Raw genomic sequence first — 27,922 nt, forward strand, 5'->3', positions numbered from 1 at the left:
AAGAGGTTTTTGCAGCCCGTCTGGCCTTGCTTTCTGCAAATATTTTCCTGGTTCTATTTAAGTGAGCCATCTTCCTCTGTTTCTCATGCTAACAAGCAGCCTTGGGGTTGTTCTTCTTCTTTTACAGACAGGAAAACTGAGGCTCAAAGTGATTACCTGCCTAGCCAAAAGCCCTTTTTCCAGTTCTGATGGTGCCATCTCTGGATATGAAGAGTGGCATTCTCAAGCTAATTGTGGAACTATCTTACAGGAGGAATGTGGGGTGAGGGGGGAGCTTAGAAATTATGTGGGCCACTTCCCAGTCTATTAATCAATAAAGAAAACTTGGGTGGAATTATTTGCATGATTCTACTCCATTTTGCAAATATAACACAAAAAATTGTTCTTGATGTGCATAGCACATTTTTGGTGTTGTAGGCTTGATAAAAGCTGACTGTGTATGCAGATCTCTAGAGAGAAACTGGGACAATTTTTTTTTTTTTTAGATGAGTCTAACTCTATCACCCAGACTAGAGTGCAGTGGTGTGATCTCGGCTCAGTGCAACCTCTGCCTCTTGGGCTCAAGTGATCCTCCCACCTCAGCCTCCCAAGTAGCTGGGACTGCAGGCGTGTGCCACCATGCATGGCTAATTTTTGTATGTTTTGTGGAGATGAGGTTTTGCCATTTTGCCCAGGCTGGTGTTGAACCCCGGAGCTCAAGTAATCCCTTTGCCTCAGCCTCTCCAAATACTGGGATAATAGGTGTGAGACACTGCACTCAGCTGGGCCAGTTTTTATAAGAGCCCAGGGTCTCCTGAAAAGAAAGAAATAGGCCAGGCACGGTGGCTCACGCCTGTAATCCCAGCACTTTGGGAGGCCGAGGCGGGCGGATCACAAGGTCAGGAGATCGAGACCATCCTGGCTAACACGGTGAAACCCCGTATCTACTAAAAATACAAAAAATTAGCTGGGCATGGTGGCGGGTGCCTGTAGTCCCAGCTACTTGGGAGGCTGAGGCAGGAGAATGGCATGAACCCGGGAGGTGGAGCTTGCAGTGAGCCAAGATCGCACTACTGCACTCCAGCCTGGGTGACAGACAGATACTCCGAGAAAGAAAGAAAGAAAGAAAGAAAGAGAGAAAGAAGGAAGGAAGGAAAGAAAGAAAGAAACAAAGAAAGAAAGAAAAAAGAAAAAGAAAGGAAAGAAAGAAAGAAAGAAAGAAAGAAAGAAAGAAAGAAAGAAAGAAAGAAAGAAAGAAAGAAAAATAGAGACCCCAGGCTCTCTAAGATTCAAAGTTGAGGAGAGTTTGAAAGTGTGTGGGATGGTCCTGTGCGAAAAGTCAAGCTGAAGGAAGGGATGCTGAAAGCATAAAAATGAAGCATACCAGGACAAAAGAAGCCTGAACTAGTGATCTGGGCTTGACCCAAAGCTTCTGGCTTCTCAGCACAGGCTGGTAGAATACTTCTCCAGTGATATATACTGGGAATGATGGTTGATCATTTAAGAATAACCTAACAGAGATCACCATAAGGGCAGGAGCCCCTCTAAAGATGAGTTATGATGTGACACTTATCTCTTTGGGGTACTTGTCTAAACGTGTCTGTCCTGTAATATCTTCTTGTTGATAAGCTTCCCGAAAAGGGGAGATAAAAGGAGAATCATGTGAATTTGGTTGCATCAGTTGTGTAAAATATTTGGCGCATTCTCTTCTCACCACCTCATACCAAGTTCAGGAACTTCTGGCTGGATAAAGATCTCACTAATGCCACTGGGGCAATGGGACTTGAGCATTGAAATTTGCAAATCCTTGGTAGACACTTTGAAGTTTTTGTTGCTTGCGGTCCTTGTACTGTGATCTTAATTAAATTGAGGTGAAAATAATGACTTCACTTGTTTTTATTGCCAGTGCAAACTTTAGCAACAGCAGTGTGGGATAAGGAAACCATGACTGCAGGAGCAGTAGGAGGTGTCCAGGCCTCCAAATCTGCCAGGGTCGACAGCCGCCTGCATTCCAGGGAGAATTCTAGAATGCTACTTTGCAGCCTAGTGCAGGTACCACTGTGGTCTCATGTCCATGAGTGTGCAAGATCTGTGATCCCCTGTGGCAGCCACCACCACAGTGATGCTGGTGGAGCAATCTCACATTCCAGTCCTCCGCCTTCAAAAGCAGGATTGGCCCCATGGGAGAATTTGGGGAGGGATGGTGGCTCGAAGGTGCTATATTGGCTTTTCTGTTAAAAATTGAAGTTGGCGAAGTCTGTCAAAACAGTTCCTTTATATTTGAAAAGCACTTTGAAGTTTTCAAAACAATACCATATCCATTATCAACACCTCATTCAAATAACACTTTTAAGTGTCAGTCAGGAAACTGTACTATTTTCTCCATTTAGAGAAGAGGTTACCCCCTTCTCTAAGGAAAGTTCAACTGGAGGCAGTTTTTCTCCATGGGGGACACTGGGCAGTGTCTGGAGACTCTTTTGTCATCACAACTGGGGTAGGGGAGTGAGTGCTACTGGCCTCTGGTTAGTAGAGACCAGGTGTGCTGCTATATATCCTGCAATGTACAGGTCAGTCTCCAATGGCAAAGAATTATCCAGCCTAAAATGACCATAAGGCAGAGCTTGAGAAATCCTGATTTAAGGACATACAACTAACAAGAGGAAGAGCTGCTAAGTTTTAGAGTTGTTGTCTACTATGAATAACAGCTGCCATTTGTTAAATATTTACTGGGTGCCAAGCACTGTTCTAAGTGCCTCACCCATCAACTCAATTCCCACAACAGGTCTGGGTGGCAGGAATATTACTCCAACCAAGACTCAGAGAGGTTACGTAGCTTTCCAAAGGACATGTGGCAGAATTAGTGATGGAGCCTGTGTTGTCTTGCCCCAACACCTCTCCTGTCTCCACCTCCCTGCATCGTAATAGAGACGGGAGACCCTGCTCAACCTGACTAGCAGCTGGTACTGAACAAGTACTCCTTACGGGCTTTAAGATGAACTGGCTAATTTTTATATGGTCAGAAGTGGCAGGTTCCAGGATCACCACAGAAAGCAAGTTTCAAGAACATTTTCTCCTCTCTAGCATACAATTTCAAAACTCAGGGAGCCCAGTGGCCTCTAAAATTCCTATTCATTGACATATTCTCCTTTTCCTCTCTTAGACCTATGGCACAATGTATCATTCATTCACTTTGTTCATATACTCACTCTAAAATATTTTATCAAGGGTTGGAGGTAAAAAGAGGAAAGAAATATGTACAGTCTTTTATTGCCAAGTTACCAACAGTCTATTGGGTCAAACAAGCCTAAAAATATCATTCTATTACAATGTGCTCAGTGCAGTGATAGAGGTGTGTCCAGGCTATCTCAGGTGCACAGAAAAGAGGCCCCAGACAATTTCTGGAGGCAGGGAATCAGGTAAGTCTCCTAGGAGGTGACCACTGAGTGGAGTCTTAAAGGCTGAGATGGAATTAGTAAAGTAGAGAAGATGAGAAGGACTAACATGGAAATAGGGAGCTGCATCTGCTGAGAAATGCAAGTAATCCAGTGTTATTGGAGCCTGAAGCACCAAGCAAGGAGTGGTTGGAGATGGAGAAACAGGCTGAAGCCTGAAGCGGGGCTTGTAAATGCTAGGGGTACGTTGAGGGAGGAAAAGAAGTTTGAGCATCCAGGTTACAAAAGCTCAGGGAGAGCCACCTTGTGTTTCAGATTCAAGTGTGCTAAATCCATGTGGAGACAAAGCTGGAGGCAGGGAGGTCAGCTGGGAGGCTGTTGCAGGAGTCTGGGCCACGAGCCTAAAATCGGAGTTGGAGAAGGAGGGAATGAATTTAAAAATATTTTGGAGGTAAAGTCAGCAGAACTAGGTGTCTAGATTTGGGAGGTATGGGAGGAGGATAAGTTATGTTTGGAATTGTTGCATGAGGTATCTGTGGGACATTCAGGTAGATGGGTCCATCCAGTGGACGATGGTATATACAAGCCTGAACCTTTAGGGAGAGAAATGGGCTGAGAAAGAGTTGGGAATCATCCGCAGAGAGGCGGGAGTTGCAACAGTGAAAATCAGTTAAGCAAATTGGCCCAGGTGCCTGCCCCAATTTAATTATCTGTCGCCAAAGTGCGAGGCAGATGTACAAACATGGCGTTCAGCAGCCTACCCATATAGATGTGGGAGGGCACTTAAAGAAGTCATTGCAAGCAGAACAAACAGCTCCAAATAAGGCAAGTGCAGCTAGACAATCTAGCTTGATATTCCTTCTTTGGGTAAACAGCATGTAGAGGCTCCGTGGGAAGCTGCCTCTCCCCTCCCATTATAAAGAGAATGGCTGTTTTTTGGGACATGAGATCAACAGTGAAGACTTTACAGTCTTCATGGGCTTAGACTTGGACTACTCTCAATGTGAATATTCACTGCAGGGCCCTGAATTATCGGAGACCCTGTCTGGAATCTGGATTCCTTTCCAGGCCTGAAGGTCACTGGGTTTCCTATATAATTCCCTTTTCTCCCATGTCATGGCCCTTCCTAAATGGCAGAACATGAACATGTATGCAGTATGCAGTATGACTGTGAACATCCCAACAATTACATGCACCCCCGTCCTCCTCCTCTTCCTGGTATGTGCACAAGCTTCAAGTTAGAAAAACAAGTCTTTCCATATTAACACCTGGCACCTGGTATCAAATACATCCAGCCTTAGTAATTATTCTTGGGCTTTGCAGCAGCTTTCTTTTGACCAGTGTTGAAGGCTGGTGCCAGTCACCATAACTAGGTGTGAATTAATGCAACAGCATCCATGCCGCAGAGCCTCCTGGGTTTGTGTTTGAAACACAGGGCTGTGTTTTAGAGCCGTGGATAAAGTTCATTAATAGGTGCGAGCACAGTTCTCAAAGGGCAGTTCTGCCATATTTCGAGTCACTGTTCAGAATTCTCATTAGCCAATTACCCTGCTCCCATCCTCCCTGCTCCTGTGGTAATGTGTATTTTAAAGCCTCGATAAGACACAGCATGTTTTAAATATACCTTAATGTATTGGAAATGCATGAGCCCCCTTTGGGTTTATATATTTTAACCACTAGCCAATTTTGCAAAGTGATAAATAAATGTTACAGGCATCAGCTGCAGTAGTAGAATCAGCTGGGGATATTTAAAACCAGTCTAAAGTCTAACTTACCTCTAAATCTGAGATATCAAGCATGGTGAGCAAAGCAGGCAGGAATATGCAAGTGATTTCCTGGTAATAAAATCAACAACCTTGACACATGAAGCGAGATTGAATGGGAATAGGGTTGGTGGGGGAAGCAGCTTGGTTGAATTAACAAGTATTTATGTGCAAGTGACTGTCCTGGGCATTGTGGGGATACAAAATGGTTCTGGCTGTCAAAGAGTTTATGAACATGTACAGAGTGATGAGACAAGGACACGGATAATAAGCAGAGAGGTTGAGGTGAGTACCACTGGAGAAGGACAAAATGTTATGGGGGCCAACATGGGAGGTCAGAAAAGATTTCTTGGAGAAGGTGGCAATTGAGATGCACTTTGATAAATGGGTCAGATTTTATAGGCAAAGAAAGGAAACTTGAAAGTGGTGGGGGCCAGGGTCTGAGCAAAGGCTGGGAGGTGTGAAAACGTAGATCATGTCAAGGTTCTGCAGACAGTCCAGCAGTCCAGCTGGGTGGAAGTACTGGGCTCACATTGAGGAGCAATGTAAAATGAGGCTGGAGGGCAAGTAGGGGCCAAATTGCATGAGGCCATGAATGCTAACATGAGGAGTTTTAAAATGATTCAATAAGAATTGGGGAGATAATAAAAAGTTTGGAGCAGGGGAACAAGATCAGAGTTACCTTTTGGGAGGACTAAATTGGCAGCAGGATATACAAAGGACAAGAATGGAGAGATACAGGAATCAAGGAGACCAGTTAGCTATTGAAATAAAACACAAGAGCTGGAAGGAAGAGCTGAACTTGGGGTTGAGCAGTGGACGGCAGAGGAAGAAGTGCCTCTGTGAATGGCAGATGCATCTGACAGCAATAGCTAACTTAAGCAAAGCCTGAGAATGACCCTGTGGTCTAAGAAGAATGTGTGTTTGGAGTTCTGTGCTGAAGAGTCTGGGAGTGACCAACCTGGAGATTCATTCCTTATCTATGAGGAGCATCTGAACCCCCCAGCCCATCTCATGGAATGCAGACTGTACAGAGGATTGAGGCCCTTTGTTCTGGGTTAAACAAAGGTTGTCAGGTGTAAGTTTCTAGGGGGAAGGTGCTAAGTGAAAATACTATATAAACTGCATGCTTTCTACAAATGGTAGCACTTCTCCTGTCCAGCCTGCCACCACTGGACTGCGTGTAATTGTCCTCAATAAACCCCATGTCTCATTCACTGGCTATAGGTCTCTTTTTTTGGCCTCTCAAACATGGTGCCATCCCTATTGAAGTCAAGAGGGGTCTGGCACAACACTGTGAGAGATACATTGGGAAGGAAGATGAACATGAAGGACCACAGGCAGCTGACTGGATCCGATGCATGTGTATTGGGGGTACACTCATGAAGAGGGGGTGTCAAAAATGGCACCAATGTTGTTAGCTCTGGCGACTGGTGCCATGGGCAGAGCCTTGAACAGAACAGAAGGAAGGCTGTCCCAAAGATAATCTGACTTGGATGTGAGATTGGGAGATAAGTAAAAAGTTCCACTAATAAAAGTTGTAAACTCTAGCAAGAGCCTGGGTCAGGAGATAGATATGTGCAAGCTAGGGGAGATGAGATCAACAAGGGGGAGAGAGAGAGAGCAAAACGAGAAGAGGGCCAAGGGCCAGAAAGGCCAGCATTTGGGAGGCCCCCTGCCTTCTCCTGTGAATGGTGATCTCTTGACCAGCACTGGGAATTGCTAGTCATTTCAAGATCTGATTCCGTCATTGTCCTTTCTATGCAGGACAAGGAAGACATAAGAGCCAGAGTCTGCAGAAGTCATCAAGGCAGTTCCAGAGTAGGAGTACCAAGATGTATTGGGGGTGGTGGTGGGGAGCAGAGAGAGGGGAAGGTAGTAAGCAGCATTTTTCCCTAAGTCCCTCCATGCGATCTTAGGAGACAGTCTAAAGATATTCCCCACCCCCAGGGGAGGAGAGACGTGTAATAGTTGACACATGTGTGAACAAAGATTTTTGAAGATGATACATAAACATATGCATACGTATATATACACGCAGACACACACATTATACATACATCCATATATATTTATATCTAGCCATGTCTCTATTTATCTATCTGCGTATCTATCTACTTGCCTGTCTACCTGCCCACCTGACTGCCTAAGTGATTTGTCATAGGAATCGGACCTTACACAATTGTGGGAGCTGCTTAAACAGTCTGTGAGGGGCTACTATCTTTCATCTGATGCTGGAGCCAACAGTCCATGGGGCAGGCAGTCAAGAACAGATGATCTATCTCCTGCCTTGGGATAGCAAGGATGAGCTGAACCCCAAGAAAAGCTGGAACCCATGAGTGCTGATGAGTCTGTGCCAGTTCTCACTGCTTCCAACCTTGACAAAATCGATAGACTGCAGGGGAAGGTAGGTAGTGCCTTTCATCGTAGATCTAAAGACGCACCTGGCCCAAGAGTCAGAGAAGCCGAAGAAGAGCTCAAGGGAAGGTGGAGCAGTTACATGTCCAGCAGGTGCCTAGCACCAAAGAGAGACGATAGTAGAACAGCGACATGTGTAAGCTAACACAGCTCCCACTCAAAACTACTAAGTGTGAAAACAATGACTGCTGCTTCATTTCTGCCCTCCGATTCTTGCAGGAAAACATCTTTTATGGTGCTGCCTAACCAGAAACCTACATGGAGGCAGTTCTGGGAAATGTAGTTCATTCTACACTGATAAAGCCAGCACAGCCAATGAGGGTGAAAGGAGTGAAGCAACGGAGGAAGAGAGTAGAGGAGCAGGATAGGAGATAAATGGGTGAGCAATCTGACTTCCCTAGCCCACAGGCCCCCGTCCACTAGACAAGCAGACTCGAGTTTGACTATAAGCAAACTGAGGTCAGGGCCTGTACTGTAGTTACCTAATTCTCTCCAAAGCATTTAAGAACAAGCTATTAAGCACCTGCTAGTCTCCAAGCACTGTACTATTTTATGTGCATGTGCATCTTACATACTATTCAGCATAATCTCAAATGGGGAGTATTATTACTATACCCAGTTTATAAGTAGGGAAGCTGCGGGTTAGAGAGGTAAGTAATGGGTTCAAGGCCACATAGCTAGAAAGTGGTAGAGATTGTATTTGAACCTCAGTCTGTATGACTCCAAAGCTTCTGCTCTTAACCCCTACTAAATCTAAAGCATCCCCAGTTCCTAGCAGAGTGTCTGGGCCACAGCAGGCTTTTGATTAACAGGAATTAAATTACTGGATTTGTGGGTGAGGGATGGATGGTTGGATGCACAAGTGGTGGATGGTTGGATAAATGATGGAACTCAGGTGTTGGAGAAGTTGAGAGTTTAGAGGGGACAGAGGGTCAGGGGAAGAGAATGAACAGCACTTAGAAAAGCAAACTTGACTCTATGCGGTGCTAACCTTTGATTGCATAGGGGAGAGAATCCCAGTGAAAGCCAGACATGTGCTGAGTCCAGCTTTCCTTTTACTGCCGAACAGCCCACAGGCTCTTCATGAAAAGCTGTGCTTCCCATTGATCATCATTTGTATTATTTACTGGGGCCTGTGTAAGCAGTAAACCAAGGATCAGGTATCTGGTTCCTAATTCTGCCTTCACAGGCAACTTGCTGGTGAACTTGAGTGTCTAATTCTCCATCTGCCCCTTGCAATGATAATGCTTGCCAGGCCGTTTGGCAGGGCTCTGTTTGTTACCCTGTGCCTGAGTTTCAACCTGTGGAAAATTAGTCCATCATTTTGCTCCTCAGTTAACTCTGAATGATTAGTCCTGCATGTAGGAGTTGTACCCCTTAGAAATAGAAGTAGACCCCGGGCCCTTTAAGATTGTTTCTGGAATTCATTTAGTCTGTTGGATGCAGGCCTCACCAGAGCCCTTCCTTGATAGCCTGCCCTCCTGGTTGGGGAAGTGGTTCCTCAGAGTGGGAGCCAGTCTCAGGGATGGTTTGTCTGCATTCTCTCAAAGCTTCCTGTGTATGGGAAATGAACAGCTTCCATCCACATCCTTCCTTCTCCTTGGCAGGCTGAGCCCTGCCCTCTCTGTGAGATTCCAGGAGTCTGTGACATTATCTGCTAACTCCCAGGAGAGGCCCTGGACCACAGTTGCAAGCCTTGAGAATGATGAATATGCAGGAAGGGGTAGTGTGCCAGACAGGGGAGCTGCAGAGTTAGTGTGATTGAGCTGGCCAGCCATGCAGGGCAAGGTGAGCTGGGGCCTGAGCACCCTTTGAGAGGGCTCAGCCCATGCAGGGCCATTTGCCATCCTTAGGAGTTAGGAGCTGTCATTTGTTTGTCTGCATTCTCCAGGGTTGTAGACTCAAGAGTCTTAGAAATCCCACTGGCACCCGAGCACCCCACTGGCTGCAATTAACCTGTTCAATAATAGGTCAGCAACTTTGTAGAGGATGTTTGCGGATAGCATTCTACTGGGTGCACTAGTACTATTGACTTTGGTCTATAGAAAGCCTGATGTGTCCCCAGTGGCAGAAAAAAGCTAGGAGCAAATTCTGCTGCATCACAGAATCCTTAGGCTAGTGTGACATTTAGAGGTCACCTGGCCCTTCCATTTGCCTGCAGGCAGGCCTGGACATAAACCAGCCTAGACAGGTAAGAATCTTCTCTTTCTCTGCCTTCAAAAACTTTTGTTCACAGAAGGACATTTCATATATACCCTTAGTGTCTACTATTCCTCAACCCTGAGACAGTTCTCCCTTAGAGCTCATCTATATTCCTCTTGTTCCCAGAGGTTCTCTGATTTGTACTTCCATGAAGATGGCAGGAAGAACCCATCATGTGTTGTACTCAATGGCGTGCTGGAGCCCGCTGGTATGGGTTTCTCCAGAGCCAGTTGTACATATCTCTTCCAACTCTGGGGTCAGTGACATCACATTGGTAACTTATAATCAGCCATAGTATGAATATTTATACCATAGAAATTGGCAAACACTATACCTCAGGGCTTTTGTTTTTCCCCATAGAGAGGCAGTTGTTCAACATTTACCAGCACACGACTGCTTGTGTGTAGCAACAAATCTTCACATAATGTGGGTGACAATTATTCTTTGTACACTTCACTTTAGAGACTTAAGTTGTCACTTTGGTGCCTTTAGGTAAAACTCACTGGTAGGCCGAACTGTAATTTCCCAGAGAGCAGAGGCTATGACTAGTATTCCCCCACCACAGTGGGCCTTTTATACAGCAGTCGCATGTTGATTGCATGCCAAAGGAATGAAGGACACATATCAAATCATCAGGCTGAATGACTGTAGGTTTTCATCATCTTAGTCCTAGTGCCATCCTATTGTTTGAGTCAGATTTGCCAAGTAAGAGATATATTTATCTGAGTTGACTTCAGGGTTGTAAAATTCAATTCAGAAGAAATTATGAAACATCTACTTAATGTTGACCGTGTTTTAGACTCTGCTGCCAGAAAGAGGGAATATTAATGAGTAGCAGCAGCCCGTCACTCCCATTCTCAAATACCTTACAATTTTATTTGGAATATATGTATACAAACAGAATTAAAGATCAATTTGGATGTTCTAGAAGAGTTATGCTTCAGGGATTTTGAGTGATCAGAAAATACAGTGGTTGTAATATGCGGCACCAGGTTCACATCGCCTGCATTCAAACTCCAGACCGCTACTTAGCAGCTATTTGACTTTGGAAGAGTTGCTTAACACCCCCTACCCTGTCCCACCCCAATTCAGATTCCTCATTCTAAGGGGCCAATGAAATCTATCTCATAGAGTAGGTGTCAGATTCAATGTATTAATGATTACAAATCACTTGGCACGTTGCCTGGAATAGAGCACGTGTAAAATATAAATATACAGTAGTTATTATTTTTATCATATAATCTAATGCCCTGTTTTTACAAATAAAGACACTGAGGTCCAAAAGTGGGGAAATGACTATTTACTAATTAGTGGCAGGCCTGGGATTAGCAGCAGTAACTAACTTCATTTATCAGTATAGGTGAGGGTATATGCTTCAGTGACAAATATATCCCCAAATTTCCAGTCTCAGTGCCTTGACACAATGGATGCTGTTTACTGTTTATGCAAAGTCAGATGCAGATCAGGAGACCCTACTCCATTCTGCAGCTACATCATCCAGCCCCCATGTCTCTAAGCCCACCACAATGGGGGCAGAGAGAGATGGAGGAGGTGTGCCAGCTCTTAACTGCTTTGGCCAATCCATTTCTCAGAATGAGTTGTATTGCCCCTGCCCTGGGGACACTGGCAATATAGACAGGCAGAAGGCCACGTGATGAGCACACTATCTTGCACACTAACAGTATGGAAGGCATCACAAGGCAGCATATGATTAAGTGCTTAACAGCAGGACAGGTACTATGTGCCACAGTTTATGATTAAGTGGCCTACTAAGGGGTATAGACAAGTGCTGTGGGAGATTAGAGAAGGGGCAGATAAGGAAGGAAAAGGAACTAAACAATACTTGCTGAAAAAGTGCTAGCTTAGGACCTAGCACCAGTGCGAAGACTGGTGAACTCCCCTTAGCGCAGCATGGACAAGGAGAGAGCCTGCTGCTGTGAAGTTCCTGGGCATCCCTCCCCACCCATCTTCACCAGGCATCAGGTTGGAGGATGGAAGGAGGTGCCAGCTTGTTCAACATCAATTCCTGGTAGCCCAGGCCACTGCTCCTGACTCTCCGTCTTCCATTCATCTGCAGAAACCTCCACCGAGCCCAGATTCTTTCAAAGGCCCTGAAACAAGCGCTTCCTGACAAAGCATGAGGTGGTAGAAACAGTATTGGATGCAAAAGTAATAATGCATTTTTCCGTTTCCACTTTGCTCCTGACAGCCTGTGTGACTTTAAGCTTCTCCACCTCTCTGGTCTGGGCCGCAGTTCTTATTGGTGAAATGAGGCTCCTTAAGCCCTTTTACAGACCCTATTCTCTGGGTGCTGCACCTGTCATAGCCATCATTTGTAGGATGGGGTAAAATCTTTGGAGGGATAGTCTGGGAGTGTCTGAGTAAAGATTCAGGGGAGGAGAGGATTTGACTAGGGATCTAGCAGCTTAGAGGGTGAACAGGACTGCACATGGCATATGGAAATCTTTGGTAAGGGGCCAAGCTTACATCAGAATGGAGACAGGATAAAGAGGCAGCCCTGGAAGCTGTGCCCAGCCTCTTAAATCTCAGCACTGACATATCAATCAGTCAGTTCAATCAGTTGCAACATTTTTTTCTTTTGGAAATAAATAAAGATGAAGGCGGGAGATACCACACAAAGAAGAAACCTCAGAGCGGCATGGAGAGTCACACTGCCATAGAGTCCTGGAGCTGGATTCTGATTTATAGAGCAGGCTGAATTTGATAAATCAGGTACCTCAATCCAGTGGGTTTAGGCTCTTGTTTCCTAAATGGGAACTTAATGTTGTTCACTCATTCATAGGTAAGGATGCTGCACCAGAAAGTTAATATACAAATCTGTTATTTACAAGAGTCGTCATGTTTGTTTGTTTTTTCTTTTTTAAAAAAGCTTATACATAATACACATCTCAGATACAAACTTTGTGGTATAAATTGCCCCCCTCTTCCTACACATCTCCCATTTAGAATCCCTCCTGGCCAATCAGACCTTACACATGTGGGGTGGGAGAGCTGGTAGTAAAAGGGCAGGTTGTGACTGGGTGAGTTGGGAGTCGCTGGAGATAATGGGAGAGGTGGAGTGCGGGGTATGGGGAGTGCAGGAGTAATTTGTTCCTCATTTAGTCTTAGGCTCTTTTATGTTTATTTATTTTACAGCCTATCTGGTTTTGGGAGCCCACTGATTAAAAAAAAGTTTCAAGTCAATAAAATATGCAACTAGAGATGGATTCTGGAGCTGGTTTATTAGGCAGGTTGTGATTGGGTGAGTTGGGAGTCGCTGGAGATAATGGAAGAAGTGGAGTGGGGGGGATGGGGAGTGCAGGAGTAATTTGTTCCTCATTTAGTCTTAGACTCTTTTATATTTATTTATTTTGTAGCCTATCTGGTTTTGGGAGTCCACTGATTAAAAAAAAAGTTTCAAGTCAATAAAATATGCAACTAGAGATGGAATCTGGAGCTGGTTTATTAGGCAATTTCCTGTATGGCTCCCTGGGGGAGCACACTCCACACCCTACTGCCTGGGGCAGGGCTCTCCTCCTGGCATTAACCCTTGGGGTGCCTCGAGCAGACCTCCTGAGGCACAGGAGCCTCACACCCTCCCCAGGTCCTGGGCTCCTGCCTCTACTTTGTGCTCAGGCTTCTGCAGGCTCCTGAAAAGGCCAAAAACATCCCTGCCGATTTAGCGGTCTCCACTCATTCCCTCCCTTGTGCCTCTGTTTCTTTAGGAAGCCACCTCCTCCAAGAAGTCTTCTCTACCTAAATGCACTTATTGGTGAACACATTAGCATTTACATTAGCAAATGACAACAGCAAGAAGGGGAAACTTTATCAGAGGATGAAATGATAAAGCAGATGCTTGTGTTTTTAGGAGTGGCTTTATGTCTGTAGGTAGACCCAGACTTCTAGGTCACTGTTAATGGAGTGAGATGGAGGCAGGAGTAGTGAAATTTCTCTTGGGATGGGCTCCCATGTGGCTGCCCACAGGTATAGGCAGTTCCTCCTACTTGCCAAAAAGGGCTTCTATCTACTTCTCCACGGCCTGCCTTCTTTCTGCACTACGTCCTCGACTCAGCCACCTGCCCTCGGATGGACACACCTTTCTCCAGAGCCCTCCAGGCCCAGGCTGACTTTTTCAAAAGGAGATTTGTCCCAAAGAATGTCTTCATTGAGGAAGTGAAGAGGTTTCATTTTAACTACAGGGGTGCCTCACTTAATACACTAAATAGATTTCTGAAAGGTTGCAAGTAAAATGAAAAAAGAGAGAGAGAGAAACCCTCTCTTAAAAGCACTGAGAGCGTTTCTATTTAAAGCAATCTTATGATAAATTCTTTTGCAAAGAATTGCTCTGGTCCCGAGCAACACATTTGCAGCTCTACCTTCCTGCTGGACATTTCAACCTAGATAATAATAATGCTAACATACTGACTGATTGGCTGCTAACTGTGTGCCAGGCATGTATTTGGGTGTGGCTGTGTGTATGTATATAGAAATATATATATACATTTGAATGTATAACTTTCTCACCACAACCCTATGATATAGGTTCTATATTATCCCCATCTAATGGATTAAGAAATTGTGTTATAGAGACATAAAGTAACACGGCTAGTAAGTTACAAAGTCAGGATGGCCTACCAGCAGTTCAACCAAAATTTACCTAAAACCAAATTTGTCATTTGTCCACCTTAGTGTAACCACCCAGTGGATTCATTTTGCCCACTGCCCAGATACAGCCAATTCATCAAGACAGGGGGATTGCAATAGAGAAAGAGATTAATTCATGCCAAGCCAGCTGAATGGGAGCCTGGAGCTTTATTATTACTCAAATTGGTCCCCTCAAAAGTTCAGAGACTAGGGCTTTTCAAGGATAGTTTGGTGGGTAGGAGGCCAAGGAGTGGGGAGTTCTGATTGGTTGGGTGATAGATGAAATCATAGAGTCGAAGCCATCCTCTTGCACTGAGTTGGTTCCTGGGTGGGAGCCACAGGACCAGTTCATGAGTTCAGGTGGAGCCATCAGTAGTCAGAAATGCAAAAATCTGGAAAGACATCTCGAAAGGTCAATCTTAGATCCTACAATAGTGATGTTATCTGCAGGAGTAGATGGGGAAGTTGCAAATCTTATAACTAATGTGTTAGTCCTACAGAGGCAGTCTGGTCCCCAGGCAAGAAGGGAATTTGTTTTGGGAAAGGGCTGTTATCATCTTTGTTTCAAAGTTAAACTATAAACTAAGTTCCTCCCAAAGTTAGTTCGAGCTGTCCCCAGGAATAAACGGGCAGCTTGGAGGTTAGAAACAAGATGGAGTCAGTTAGGTCAGATCCTTTTCACTGTCATAACTTCCTCACTGTTATAATTTTTGCAAAGATGATTTCATTAGTCGGCTTAGACTGCCTTTTTTTTTTTTTTACTTTTGCAGCCAGCATCACAATTTTCCCAATTAGTGGGCAGAACTAAACCTTTGAGCATTGTTTTCTCTCCCCACTCCTTTTCTTCCTTCTTTGCCCACTCAGTCAATTGTCAAGTCCTGTTGATTTGACCATGATTCCACTTCTCCAGTCACTTCTACATTTCTCCCCAACTTTGTTCCTCCGGTACGCTGTTACCAACCAGTGTCCCTACTCAGTCTCTTTGCCTTGTGCCCCGTCTCCCCGCTGTTTGTCAGTGTGACCTCCCTAAAGCACCAGGCTCCACATGCCGTGCTCCCTCCTGACTCAATTTTAAATGGGTGATCAGAAACAGTCTTAGGATGACAGTGACATCTGATAAAAGCCCAGTAGGAGGGGAGGCAGCAAAACCTGGAGCTATCTGGGGGAAGGGTATTTAAGCAGATGGAATAGCACGTGTAATGACCCTGAGGCAGCTGAGAGCCTGGAAGTGCAGGATGCAGCAGAAAGCTGCTGATGCAGCCAGGCTTCTGGGCCCTCCAGCCTGTCCTCAGCCTCCTCCTCTCATTGAGTCTCCAGCTTTCTCTCTGCCTCACCCCTGCTTCTACCATTTGCTCTGTTAGACAGTGACAGCCTATTGTCTCCTCTCTCTATTACTGACATTGTCCCTGCCAGGACCAACTTACTCTTCACCTGGGCTTCCAGAGAACTCTCTAGCTCTCTGGAAAATCCATCACTTTCTTTCCTGCATAAACTTGATCTATATTTTGATTATTTTTACTAGCTACTTGGGGGCCGAGATCTGATTCAGCCACATGCTTTCTACAGGGCACGTGCTGTAGGTCCAGGGAATACTGAGGTATGTAAGACATGAGCCCCGCCCTAAGAAAGAAGCACTCCGTGGGGAAAAGAGGCACAAAAAGGCATAATTTCAATTTAGCAAATTGATGCAGAGCTGGAGGTCTTCATGTGGAGTTGGGGGTGACTGTAGCCCTGGTCTCTTTTGTACCCTGTAATGTAGAGCAAAGCGCCGTGCGCATCATGGAGCCTCAGGGAGTGTTTATTTAATTGAAGCATTCCTCAGTGACTCTTTTATTAAAAGGGATTTAAAAATATTTAGTTGGCTTACCCCGCCTGAGGTATATGTATTATATCAGGTGCTTGTGCATTCTGCTGGGAGCTCATGGGCAATTGTTGATATATTGTTCCAGAAGTGTCTTCATGGCTATTTCATGTGTTTCATATGTGCATTTTGAATTCCATAAGGATTTCTCTATTCTACTCTTTTATACTCCAGAGAACCATGAACTGACAGACTAAAATCCCATCCACAGCCATACATCAGCATAAGGAGATCAGCCTTTACCCTCTGCTCTCACCTAAGCAGGGACCACTGTGGGCCTGATTTTCTCACCTTGGAGAATGGGAGGATGCAGAGATAATGAAATCACACTCTTGAGGACCTTTTAAAAGCCAACATGGAGATGATAGTAATTATTCACCTGTGCCCTTGAGTAGTCCACTAAAGCATCCTGAAGCCAGCCTCTTTATGTATAAAGTGACACCTGCCCTCAAAGATTGATGTGAAAATAAAGTGAAGCAATGTGTGTGACATGCCACACCCAGTGCCCAGCAGCGGTCAGTATTTAGCAAACAGCAGCCATCATAGCAAATGGCCAGGGTGATTACTGGGCTAGGCCTTGGCAGGCAGTGATAATAAGACAAATTTACTTCTTTCTCTCCAAATTGTCATAGTCTAGTAAGGGAGATGCAAGGAAAAAGATGATTTTAGTGCATATTACGAGTCCCTGGCTAGGGGTCAATGAGAGAGTGGAGGGAGCACCTGGAAGGCTTCCTTGAAAGAAAAGACTTTTCTCCTGAGGGTTGGAGGATGAGTCAAAGCTAGCGAATGATGATGGAAGGGAGGGAGTAGACAGAAAGGATGGCTGTTTTGCAGCAAATTCTAGCATCTTTTATAGCCTGAGAGGCTTAAGTGAGACTATAGACTAGACAGAAAAACAAGGAAATTAATGACATAGTAGAATGAAGAAATTGCTTTCTTTAGGACACTCAGCAAAGGGATGGAGTAGATTAGGCATTGATACAGTAGGACTGATTAGGTAGAAAAAGGTCAGAGCAGAGCTATTTAGCTCAGTAGTTTTCATGCTAATTTCTTAAGGACCTAGTATAACTCTCCCTTCAAATGAAAACTTCCACAGAAGCCCAAAATATAAAGCTGCTGTGGAAGAAAGAACGTGTTGTCGCCAGTGTTTCTTCAGATGGCACCCTGGAAGCCCCCACTTCCATCACAGTGGTCCTTGGACACGTCTAACGGATCCTTTGGATTTCTAGGAGCAGAGCTTGAAAAGCCTTGTTTTCAAGGCAAGGAGATTGATGGCCAGATAGTGAAATGATTTTTCTCAAGGTCCCAAAACTTGTTCTGAGCTAAAACCAGTGACTCTCAGGCCACTGCATTTTTCTCTACTACACAAGAGGTTTCAGACAGGCATGGTGACTCACGCCTTTAATCCCAGAACTTTGGGAGGCCAAGGCAGGAGGATTGCTTGAGGTCAGGAGTTCAAGACCAGTCTGGGCAACATATGGAGACCCAGTCTCTACAAAACTTAAAAAATTAGACGTGGTGGCACGCACCTGTAGTATCAGCTACTCAGGAGGCTGAGGTGGAAGGATGGATTGGGCTTGGAAGGTCAAGGCTGCAGTGAGCTGTGATCATGCCACTGCACTCCAGCCTGGGTGACAGAGTGACACCCTGTCTCAAAACAAAACAAAACAGAAAACAAAAATAACCAACAGAGTTTCCCAAAGTATCTTCTACCATGAGGTTGTCTATACCTTTCTATGACTCTGGGATCGCTAGTCTTTCTACTATGGCTGACCTAGTAATCTTGATCAGGAGCTGTCTTTACCCCAACAGGAGAAAAAAGGCAAATTGTCCAAGGATATTAGTGATGATGGTCTCCTAAAGCTCAGATTGCCTGGCAATGGATGGACTAGGAGCAAGAGCTCCCTTTTTCTAACAGGAGGACCTAGGCATTAACTCAACTTCCCACGGGAATGAAATTCCCTCTCTCAGCAGCCTGAATCTACCTTTTCACAAGGTGTGCAGATGCTAACAGTTGGCACTCTCAGATAACACCCTACACAGCTGGCATTTACACACAGGCTGCCTGGCACCTCGATCTTGCCTGTGTCTATCCTGCTCTGGGCCATTCTGCTTCCCCTATGAGTAGAGTTCTGGAGCGTAACTCCATGGTCTGACCCACAGTGCTTTGACCCACAGGTACCATGGATCTTCTTTTGCTAGTGTTGATGTGTATGTTTCTCCAAGAAAGGCCTCACTTCACCCCACCACATGCTACTGTAGTGTTTGCCTTCTTCCACTTTGACCCCTTCCTCCATTCCATTTTCTTGCCTTTCTAGTTGGCATTTCCAGTAGAAACTAGGGGTGAAACACAGTCAACAGGTTCTCTGCTGGAGAAGTTTTCCCTCTCTTTTCTTTTCATCTTGCCCATCTTTGAAGGGACGCATTCCTTCCATGCTGTCCCCTGCAGACCCTTTTTTGAGCACTGTTCTCAGATGACCAAAACCCCTCAGGTGTAAGCACTCTAGAGTGAAGATGGCAGAAGTGGGCTGGGGGAAGCTTCTAGTTGACTCACACATGACTCCTCTCAGATACCCACCACAGAGTGAACTCTTATTCCTCTGTACATAATTGGTTACTTATGTCGCTATATTCTCAATCATAACATAAACTGAAAAAGCAGGGACAATATTTGTTTTGCCCATTACTGTACAGCAGACCTAGAGTAATCCAAAGTCACTGCAGTGGCCTGCAAGGCCCTTCCAATTTGGCCGCCACACTCCACTTTACTGTCCCTTGCTTCCTTGTCCTCACTCAGCTCCAACCTTTTGCTGCTTCCTGAAATCCCAGGACCACCACTGCCTCAGGGCCATTGCACGTGCTTTTCCATTTGCTTTAATGGACTTCCCCCAGACAGTTCTGGATTTTGCTGCCTCCCTTCCTACTGGGCCTTTGTCAACTGTCACTCTCACCGTAAGACCATTTCTGACCACTCATTTAAAATTGGTACCAAACATCCCCCCTACCCTGCTGACTTAATTAATTTCTCTCTAAAGCACTTACCATGCATTGATATGCTATTTATTTCACTTGTTTATTGATTTTCTTTTTCCCTCTACTAGACGGCAAGCTCTCTTAGGGCACAGGTTTTCGTATGTTGTCTTCATCGTCTCACCCCGATGCCCAGAACAGTGCCTGGCACATAGTATGTGTATTAGTCCATTCTGACGCTGCTATGAAGAAATACCCATGACTGGATAATTTAGAAAGAAAAGAGGTTGAATTAACTTACAGTTCTGCATAGCTGGGGAGGCATCAGGAAACTTAAAATCATGGCTGAAGGCTCCTCTTCACAGGGCAGCAGGAGAGAGAATGAATGCCAGTGGGAGAAATGCCAGATGCTTATAAAACCATCAGATCTCTTGAGAACTCACTCACTATCATAAGAACAGCATGGGGGAAAGTGCTCCCATGATCCAGTTGCCTCCACCTGGTCCCACCCTTGACACTTGGGGATTATTGCAATTCAAGGTGAGATTTGGGTGGGGTCACAGAGCCAAGCCATATTAGTCGTTGTTGAATAAACATCTGTTGAATTAACACATGAATCATATTGAGAATGAGAGCAGGCTCCAGGCTTCATTGCCATTTCTGTTTCTATTTTCTCAGGGCTTGGGGACCTAGCTGTATAAGAACTGCCATGGAAGACCAGTGTCAACATGTTTATTCTTTTTCACATTGGTCTCCTTTCATTTCTTACTAAACCACCTAAATAGGCTTTATGTTTGAGAACTGCCTTCCTTCCCAGCAGCACTTAGTGAAGAAAAATATTTATTTGGGTTTGATGTTGGCAATACATCAAAATCCAATAATCATACCATAGTGCAAATGCATTAAGGGGTGTGAGATCTATAATGTAATAACATGTAATCTGCACATCAGGATCACAAAGGCAAATCTATAATTTCATTTGATTTATTTTCTTAAAATGTGACAGTCCCACATGTTGCTTGAAATGATGGAAGTTGGGACAAACAGAAACTCAGGAGATTTATGAGCTGTGTCAGCCAAGACTTGGGGATTCCTCCTTGGTCTGTGCTTGGAAGATCAGCCTGAACAATTTCCTCTTTTACAGCAGCAATATCTTGTCTGCATTCAGGAGAAAGACCCCCAACCTGTAAACATATTAGCAGGCGTGTTCTCTTTATGAGTGTGTAAATTTCTCCGCAGTGTGTGCCTCCTGGGTCTTGGGGACCTGTTTATTGGTGTGAGCCATTCTGAGGCTCGAATTGACAAGCCTGTGTGGGAGAAAGCTCCAGTGTGGTCTAGACTTGTGCCAAGTGGAAGGTGGTGGACAGTCTGGGAGATTTGAAAAAACAGCATTAGACATTTTCTCTGAATAGTGGGCAGGAGTCTGCTCAAATGAAATAAAACAAAACCGTTTCAAAGGCCTATGAGTTGTGGCCCAAGGGTCAGCACTAGACAGATTCAGACTTACCAAAGCCATCCAAGAGGCTTTTTCACCCCAACGGAAACTTAGATTCCCCCTCCTCCCTCCACATGGTCTCTCTTTCTCCCCAGGGTTACCCTGTCCTATCACTGCCTCAAGTTGGCTTTTGCTTGACGAGTGACCTTATGTTAAAAGCAACAATAACCGTTGTTTATTGGAAGCTGGCTCTATGGCATACATTTTTCAATACCATCTCATTAACTGCCCTGCAAGGCAGGTGTGCTGGTCTCAGATTTGTTCAGGGGGAACTGGAGGCTCAAGGAGGTTAATGGCTGAGAAAGTCAGCATTAAAGCTAGGATTTGAGCCCAGGCCTGTGTGGTTCCGAAGTCTTTGCTCCTTCCACTTGGTCATTTTAGGATCACCAGACTTGTCATCAGTCCTGTCCTTAGCCCTGTGCCTCCAGGGCCCTTGCTCTGGTCTCCTTGCTTAGGAGGAACTAGAACAGGCCTGTTTCCTGTCCAACCCCTCCCCACATCTTGGCTGCCCATGGGACATGACCATTTGGATCTCATATCCCTTCTCATAAGAACAATTTCTAGGTCCTTGCCCTGCCCCAGGTCTCCTCCTTAAATGGCTCTGAGCCCACTCAGAAGGCCTGCATAGTCCTGTTTCAAGGGTCTATTGGTGTCCATCCCTAGGCCCAAAGGGTGACATTTAGATGGTAGAGAAAGTGAATGGAACCAAGCTATGTGGTCTGGGGTATTCACACACATGCACACAGGGCCTCTTGTCAGGAAGGTTAGAACCAGGTATGGGAAGAGAAGGTGGCTGGGCCACAGTCTGGTTGTCTCCCTTGTACTCTAGCTGTAGGGCCTACAAATGCCATCCTTCCCATTTCATCTTCATATTCTGAGTATATGCAGCCTCTGTCCAGGTGCTGTTGAATCTGTTCTGTTGATATTGACAACAATGCCAGGAGACTGGAGGCATGGGAGAAGGAGGGGAGAATTCACAGGGATAACCACCTACAGGCCTGTCCTGTGCTCTCCGTCCCTTGCTTGCCCTGATGCTTAATGCTCCATACAGCCCCTCTTCTTCCCCAGCATCCTCCCTGCACACACCATGAAATCGACTTGTATCTCAGGGCCAAGCTCTCTGAACCTTGCTCCTACCACCATACCTCTACAGTCTTCCTTCATGGGCTGGCTGTGTATTACCTACTGGTCAGATCATAGGCAAATGTGGCAACTGAGGGAAAGACCTGCAGTAACTAAGCACCAAGCCCCTTCTCATTGTGCCCCTGGCTGTCCCCCACAGGGTCCACAAGGACCTGGGCTCTCATGAAGCAGTAGCATCTGGCTACCAGGAGGCCTCTTGAACCGCAGACAAGGCTCCTCTTGGAGTGAAAGACACTCTTGAGGATGTGGGGTGTGGAGGACAGTCAGACTCGGCTGGCAGATCAAGGCTTTCCCCAGGTGGCCTCCCTCTTACCTGTCCACCTGCATCTCCCACCAGTCCCCAGGTCAGTGCAGCCCCAGCTGGACTGGTTTCTTCATGGGCCAGTCCACACAGATGGCCTCTGTCAAACTCTGTGTCTTGCTTATACCATTTTCCCTATTGAGAATACCCATTCCATTTCTTCCGTTTTGTGTAAGTTTTATCCATCCTCAGAGCCTTTGTCAGTTGGAAGTTATGACATTTGAGGTATGCTTTAAAAACCACAGTAAAAAGACAAAAGAGAAAAAAGGTGTTAAAGCTGACTTTAAATATGAAGGATCATCACGGTGGGAGAGGCAGCAGACCTGGTGTATGTGGCCCCAGGAGGCCAACCAGAGCCTCCAGGGAAACAGAGCTCAGATCAATGTGAGAAAGAACCTCTGAGTAGGCCTGGGCAACATTGTGAGACCGCATCTCTACAAAAAATGTTTAAAAAGTTACCCAGGCATGGTGGTGTGGGCTTGTAGTTCCAGCTCCTTGGGAGGCTGAGGCAGGAGGATATCTTGAGCTCTGGAGGTTGAGGCTGCAGTGAGCTATGATCACCCACTGTACTCCAGCCTGGGAGACAGAGCCAGTCCCTGTCTCTAAAAATAAATAAATAAAATAAAAATAGAAGGAACCTCCAAGTATGAGAAAAACTCGAATATAGAAGAGACTAACTTAAACATTATCAAGTTTCTGGTCAGAAACTGGCTATGTTCAACCAGGGTGTCATGCTGTGAGGCTGATGAAGATGAGATACAAGCTCCAAATGTGGAGTTGGTCTAAATGGCTCCTAAGATCCCTCAAACTCTGATATCCAAGCTTTTGTAGTCTCACCACCTCAGGAAAGTCTTCTTTATCCACCACTACCTTCAGAAAATTTATTTCTCTGGGCACCTTAGAACTGGAACCTCTATATTTAGTCCTTATTATTAGTTACCCTATCTATTATTAGTTATCCTATGTAGATTAAAAACTTTCTGAAGGGCCAGGCATGGTGGCTCACCCTGCAATCCCAGCACTTTAGAAGGCTGAGGTGGGCAGATCACCTGAGGTCAGGAGTTTGAGACCAGCCTCACCAACATAGTGAAACCCTGTCTCTAATGAAAAAAAAAAAAGATACAAAAATTAGTTGGGCGTGGTGGTGCACACCTGTAGTCCCAGCTACTTGTGGGGCTGAGGCAAGTTTGTATTTTTCAGATTTAGAAACAAATGGCAAGAAGCTCAGTCAGCCCTCTGGGATGCACAGCTGGGTCCAGAGCTTCTTCCTGCTGCTGGTGCCTCCTCTGGAGCAGGGGAAGAATCCCTTGAACCTGGGAGGTGGAGGCTACAGTGAGCCGAAATGGCGCCACTGCACTCCAGCCTAGGAGACAAAGTGAGAATCTGTATCAAAAAAAGAAAAAAACAAAAAACAAAACTCTCTGAAGTTAGGGAGTTTTTAAGTTATTAAGAAAATATCTTAGATAATTTTCCCCCTGTCTATAGTAGGGTGTGTCAATAAATGTATCTTTCTAAAACAACTGTTTCGGATTGTAGAATTTCTTTACACTTATTAAAGAGAGTTCATAAAGTGCCACAAAATGTCAGACATGACATAAAGATCATCCATAATCCCATCATCCAGGAATAACCACAGATAAACACATTCATGTACTTCTTTTCAGTCTTCAATGAATACAGTATTTATTTTTTGAAGTGATGATCGTGAACTTCAGGGGAAGTTTGTACTTTTCAGATTTAGAAACAAATGGCAAGAAGCTCAGTCAGCCCTCTGGGATGCACAGCTGGGTCCAGAGCTTCTTCCTCCTGCTGGTGCCTCCTCTGGAGCAGGGGAAGGGAAGGGCTCTTAAATTGCTATGGGTACTGACTGTTCCAGGTACAGTACCAAAGAAGCACCTGAGAAAGTGTCCTTTTTACAGATGCTGTTTGCCTTCCAACTCTAAGATGTTACTCATGGTCAAACGAGCTCTCATTCCCTACAATTACCAGGGGGTGTCCACGGGGAGGATTAACCTGGCTGGAAATGTGTGTGTGCCTATGTGTTTTCCTTTCTCCCTAACTCACGGAGAGCTTGGCAAGGCCAGGGGAGAGGCAGCTGAATATTTTTAGCCCCTTGTTCCTCCGAATGGATTGTGCATAACAAAAGAATGCTAATGCTCAGTGTCTTTATGAAAGCACTCGAGTTCATCAGCTTTGCAAAGAAGTGAAATTAAATCAAGATTTAATTGGGATATGCATGTTTTATTCATGCTACTAACCACAGGAGAAGCCAGCAAGCTGAAGGTAAAAAAGAGGGGAAAAAATCTTTTGAAAAGTTGTTTCTCTCTGATTAAATAGATATAGTTTCCAACTTCAAAGGGAGTAGGCCTTTAATGTATTTTAAATGCTCAACTATGCTTGGCCTGGCCAGCTCTGCTGCTGGTGGGCAACAGCAACCCAGGCATGCCCTGCTCCTGCCTACATGTCCTAACGTCCAAAAAACAGGTGTGTAGCTCCTGGTCCTACCTTCTGTGCTTCAGTATGGTGCCCTTCGAACAGTTGTTCCAGGACCCTGGGGAGGGAGAGGGTGGTTGCAGCTCAGAGGATGTACAGTTAGCCATTGGAATCTGAGCAGCCCCTACAGCCAAAGTCTGAAGGACAAATAACACTGAGGAATATGACTTTTTCCATTCGTCAGATATTTCTCTTTTCTAAGGGAACATGTATTGAGTATCAAACTATGTTAACTACAAAGATCAGGCAGTCCCTGCCTGAGCCTCTTCCACCTAATGGGATAGGACCAGAGATTAAACTAAGGCCTGAATACCATGGGAAAAAAAAACAGAGAAAGGCAAAGTTTGCTGGAAAGTCTTATTATGCTCTGAGAGACCAAGGGAAGGAGCAATCCAACAGGGAGACAAAGAAAGCCTTATGAGTAGGTGGCATTGGAGCTAGGTTGGAAGAATGTCTAGAATTTCTGAATGTATAAACGAAGAGTAAGTATTCCAAACAGTGAAACCCTGAGTCAAGTTGCTGGAGATGGAAATGTTGGAGGATGTTTAGGGGAAGGCGGAGTCTGCTTGGCTGTGGATTTTAGTACATATGGTGCAGTGGTGAAACAGTCTGGAAACAGAGGTTGACACAAGAGCATAGAGAGCCTTAAACTCGGGGTGAGCAGTTTGTAAAGTGAGTGGACTGGTTAAAGTTTTGGGGATAAATTGCTCTTTATATTAATAAATTTAGGGCCCCAAAGAATGAGAAAAGATTTTCAAATGATTTGGTCACAGGATTGCCCCTCCTGTGGCATACCACCTCTTGTGACCATGACAGACATCATTAATTCATTCGGGCACTCTTTTCTTCTAAGCCAGAAGGAATCTTGCAGTCTTTTTGAACAAAGCAAACCAGTAGCCACTGCTAGATTCTAGCCATCAGAGTCTTTTTCTGCTACTCTTGTGTATTTCATGCAATGAAATGTGGGTTCTTCGGACCTAATTACTCATTGAGAAAAAACTACAAGTCCTTTTAAAAGTATCAAATGGATAATAAGATAGTATGGAATTAGGAGGAAAGTTGTTTAAGGAAACAAATGAGAGGTAAAGGCAACCCAGAAGACATTTTTTTTTTTTTGCCCTAACAACATTGGCCAATTTAGGGAATTTTGAACTTTTGTTTTGAGGTCATCATGGACATATGGTAACAGAAATCAAAATTGGCCAATGATTTTAGTTCCAAGGACAATGTCAGACTATAATATTTCCATCAGCTGAGTAAATAAATCCCTTATTCCTGAAAGGGGAATGTCCAGTGCAGCACAGCATTCATTACACCATGTTTGAAATTTTTAAAAGTGTAAATATACTCGTATGAGCAGGAAACTATAAAAATTGACACAGTGGAGTTTTTTAAAATAGAACTTCTGAAAATAAAACTCCAATTACTAAATTAAAAAAAAACCTAAAGGATTAATTTAACCTGCAGATTAAACACAGCTAAGGAAAGAATTAGTAAACTGGAAGATATGCCAGAAAAAATTAGTCTACATGTGCCATAAAGAGATAGAAAGGTGGAAAAATGCAGATGAGGAGTTAAGTGGTATGCTGGATATAGTGAGAAGAGCTAGCATATATTTAATCAGATTCCCAGGAAAGGAGAGAGAGATAGGGCAAAAGCAATATTTGAAGAAATCTTGGGTAAGAATTTTTCAGGAACAATGAATGATATGAAACTGTAGATTCAAGAAGCCTTAAAAATCTCAATCAGGATAGAGAAAACATTGACACATAATAGTGAGAACAGAGAATATCCTAAACAAAGAAATGTTTTTTTTTTAATATGGAATTTCACTCTTGTTGCCCAGGCTGAAGTGTAATGGCACAATCTTGGCTCACTGCAACCTCTGCCTCCCGAGTTCAAGTGATTCTCCTACCTCAGCCTCCCAAGTAGCTGGAATTACAAACATGTGCCAACACGCTCAGCTAATTTTTGTATTTTTAGTAGAAGCAGATTTTCACCATGTTGGCCAGGCTGCTCTCAAACTCCTGACCTCATGTGATCCACCCACCTCAGCCTCTCAAAGTGCTGGGATTACAGACATGAGCCACCACGTCCAGCCAGAAGAAATCTTAATAGCAGTTATAAGAGACAAACAGATTGTCTTCAAATGAATGAGTTAGACTGATTGCTGACTTCTCAACAATAATAATGGAAGTCAGAAGGCAAGGGAATAAGATCCTCAAGATATTGACAAAAGTTAATAGCTGATGAATATTCTATACCCACGAAATATATCTTTTAATAATGAGAACAAAATAAAGACTATTTATTTATTTATTTATTTTTTGAGACAGAGTCTTGCTCTGTCCCCCAGACTGGAGTGCAGTGGCTCAATCTCAGCTCACTGCAAGCTCCGCCTCCTGGGTTCATGCCATTCTCCTGCCTCAGCCTCCCTAGTAGCTGGGTCTACAGGCTCCCACCACCATACCCAGTTAATTTTTTGTATTTTTAGTAGAGATGGGGTTTCACCATGTTAGCCAGGATTGTCTCGATCTCCTGACCTCGTGATCCACCCAACTCTGTCTCCCAAAGTGCTGGGATTACAGATGTGAGCCACCATGCCTGCCAAGACTTTTTAATATAAGTAAAACAGAGTTTGTCATCAAGAGACCCTCAGTAAAAGAAATTCTTAATGACGTATTTCAGGAAGAAAGAAAATGATTGTAGATGGAAGGGTTGAAATACAAAAAGTAATCAAGAGAAAGACAACCTTTCAGCTATAAATAAGTGGGTAAATCCAAATGAACATTGAATATACAAAAAATAACAATAAGACCCCGTGGCTTACATTTAAAAGTATAATTAATGGAGCTAGGGTCCTTATATTATCTGATAAGGTAAAGGTATTCACATCTGGCTAGATAATTTAAGCATACATTTTGTATTTTTAAGATGGTATTGGTCACAAATTAGTGCAGAAAAATAGAGGCAAAGTACTTCAAGAAGAAAATAATTTAATGTTGGGAATTAGAAGCTTGTAAAATCATTGGGAAACTGGAGGTACGAAAGTTAGAGGGCTGCTTCTAGGCTTTTGGCTGCATCACTACAACACAATCCGGAAGTCAAAAGGCTGCCATTGCTACCCAGAGGAGAGTCAATTGCAAAAAATACTTGGTGATATTACAGCTTTTCCACATCTTGAAGCTGGTGACTGGCAATGGAATCCTATGTTCAACTACTGCAAACATTCATGTCTTCCACAACCCGCACATCAGCTGT

At 44.4% G+C, this 27,922-nt stretch overlaps 1 long non-coding RNA gene across 1 annotated transcript in view, besides 1 other annotated feature; it reads left to right on the plus strand.

The window, feature by feature from the left end:
* LINC02698 (long intergenic non-protein coding RNA 2698) overlaps positions 1 to 27,922 on the plus strand; it is a 242,222-nt gene that overhangs the window by 134,686 nt on the left and 79,614 nt on the right. The window lies entirely within an intron of this gene.
* Positions 23,962 to 24,551: an enhancer, noted in NCBI's record as "OCT4-NANOG hESC enhancer chr11:115688718-115689307 (GRCh37/hg19 assembly coordinates)". NCBI's record gives its function as "activates a minimal SCP1, AML or CMV promoter by ChIP-STARR-seq in naive H9 embryonic stem cells {active_cell/tissue: H9 hESC(naive)}" and the evidence as "EXISTENCE:reporter gene assay evidence [ECO:0000049][PMID:30033119]".

Source organism: Homo sapiens, chromosome 11 (assembly GCF_000001405.40).
Source record: "Homo sapiens chromosome 11, GRCh38.p14 Primary Assembly".
Lineage (NCBI taxonomy): Eukaryota > Metazoa > Chordata > Mammalia > Primates > Hominidae > Homo > Homo sapiens.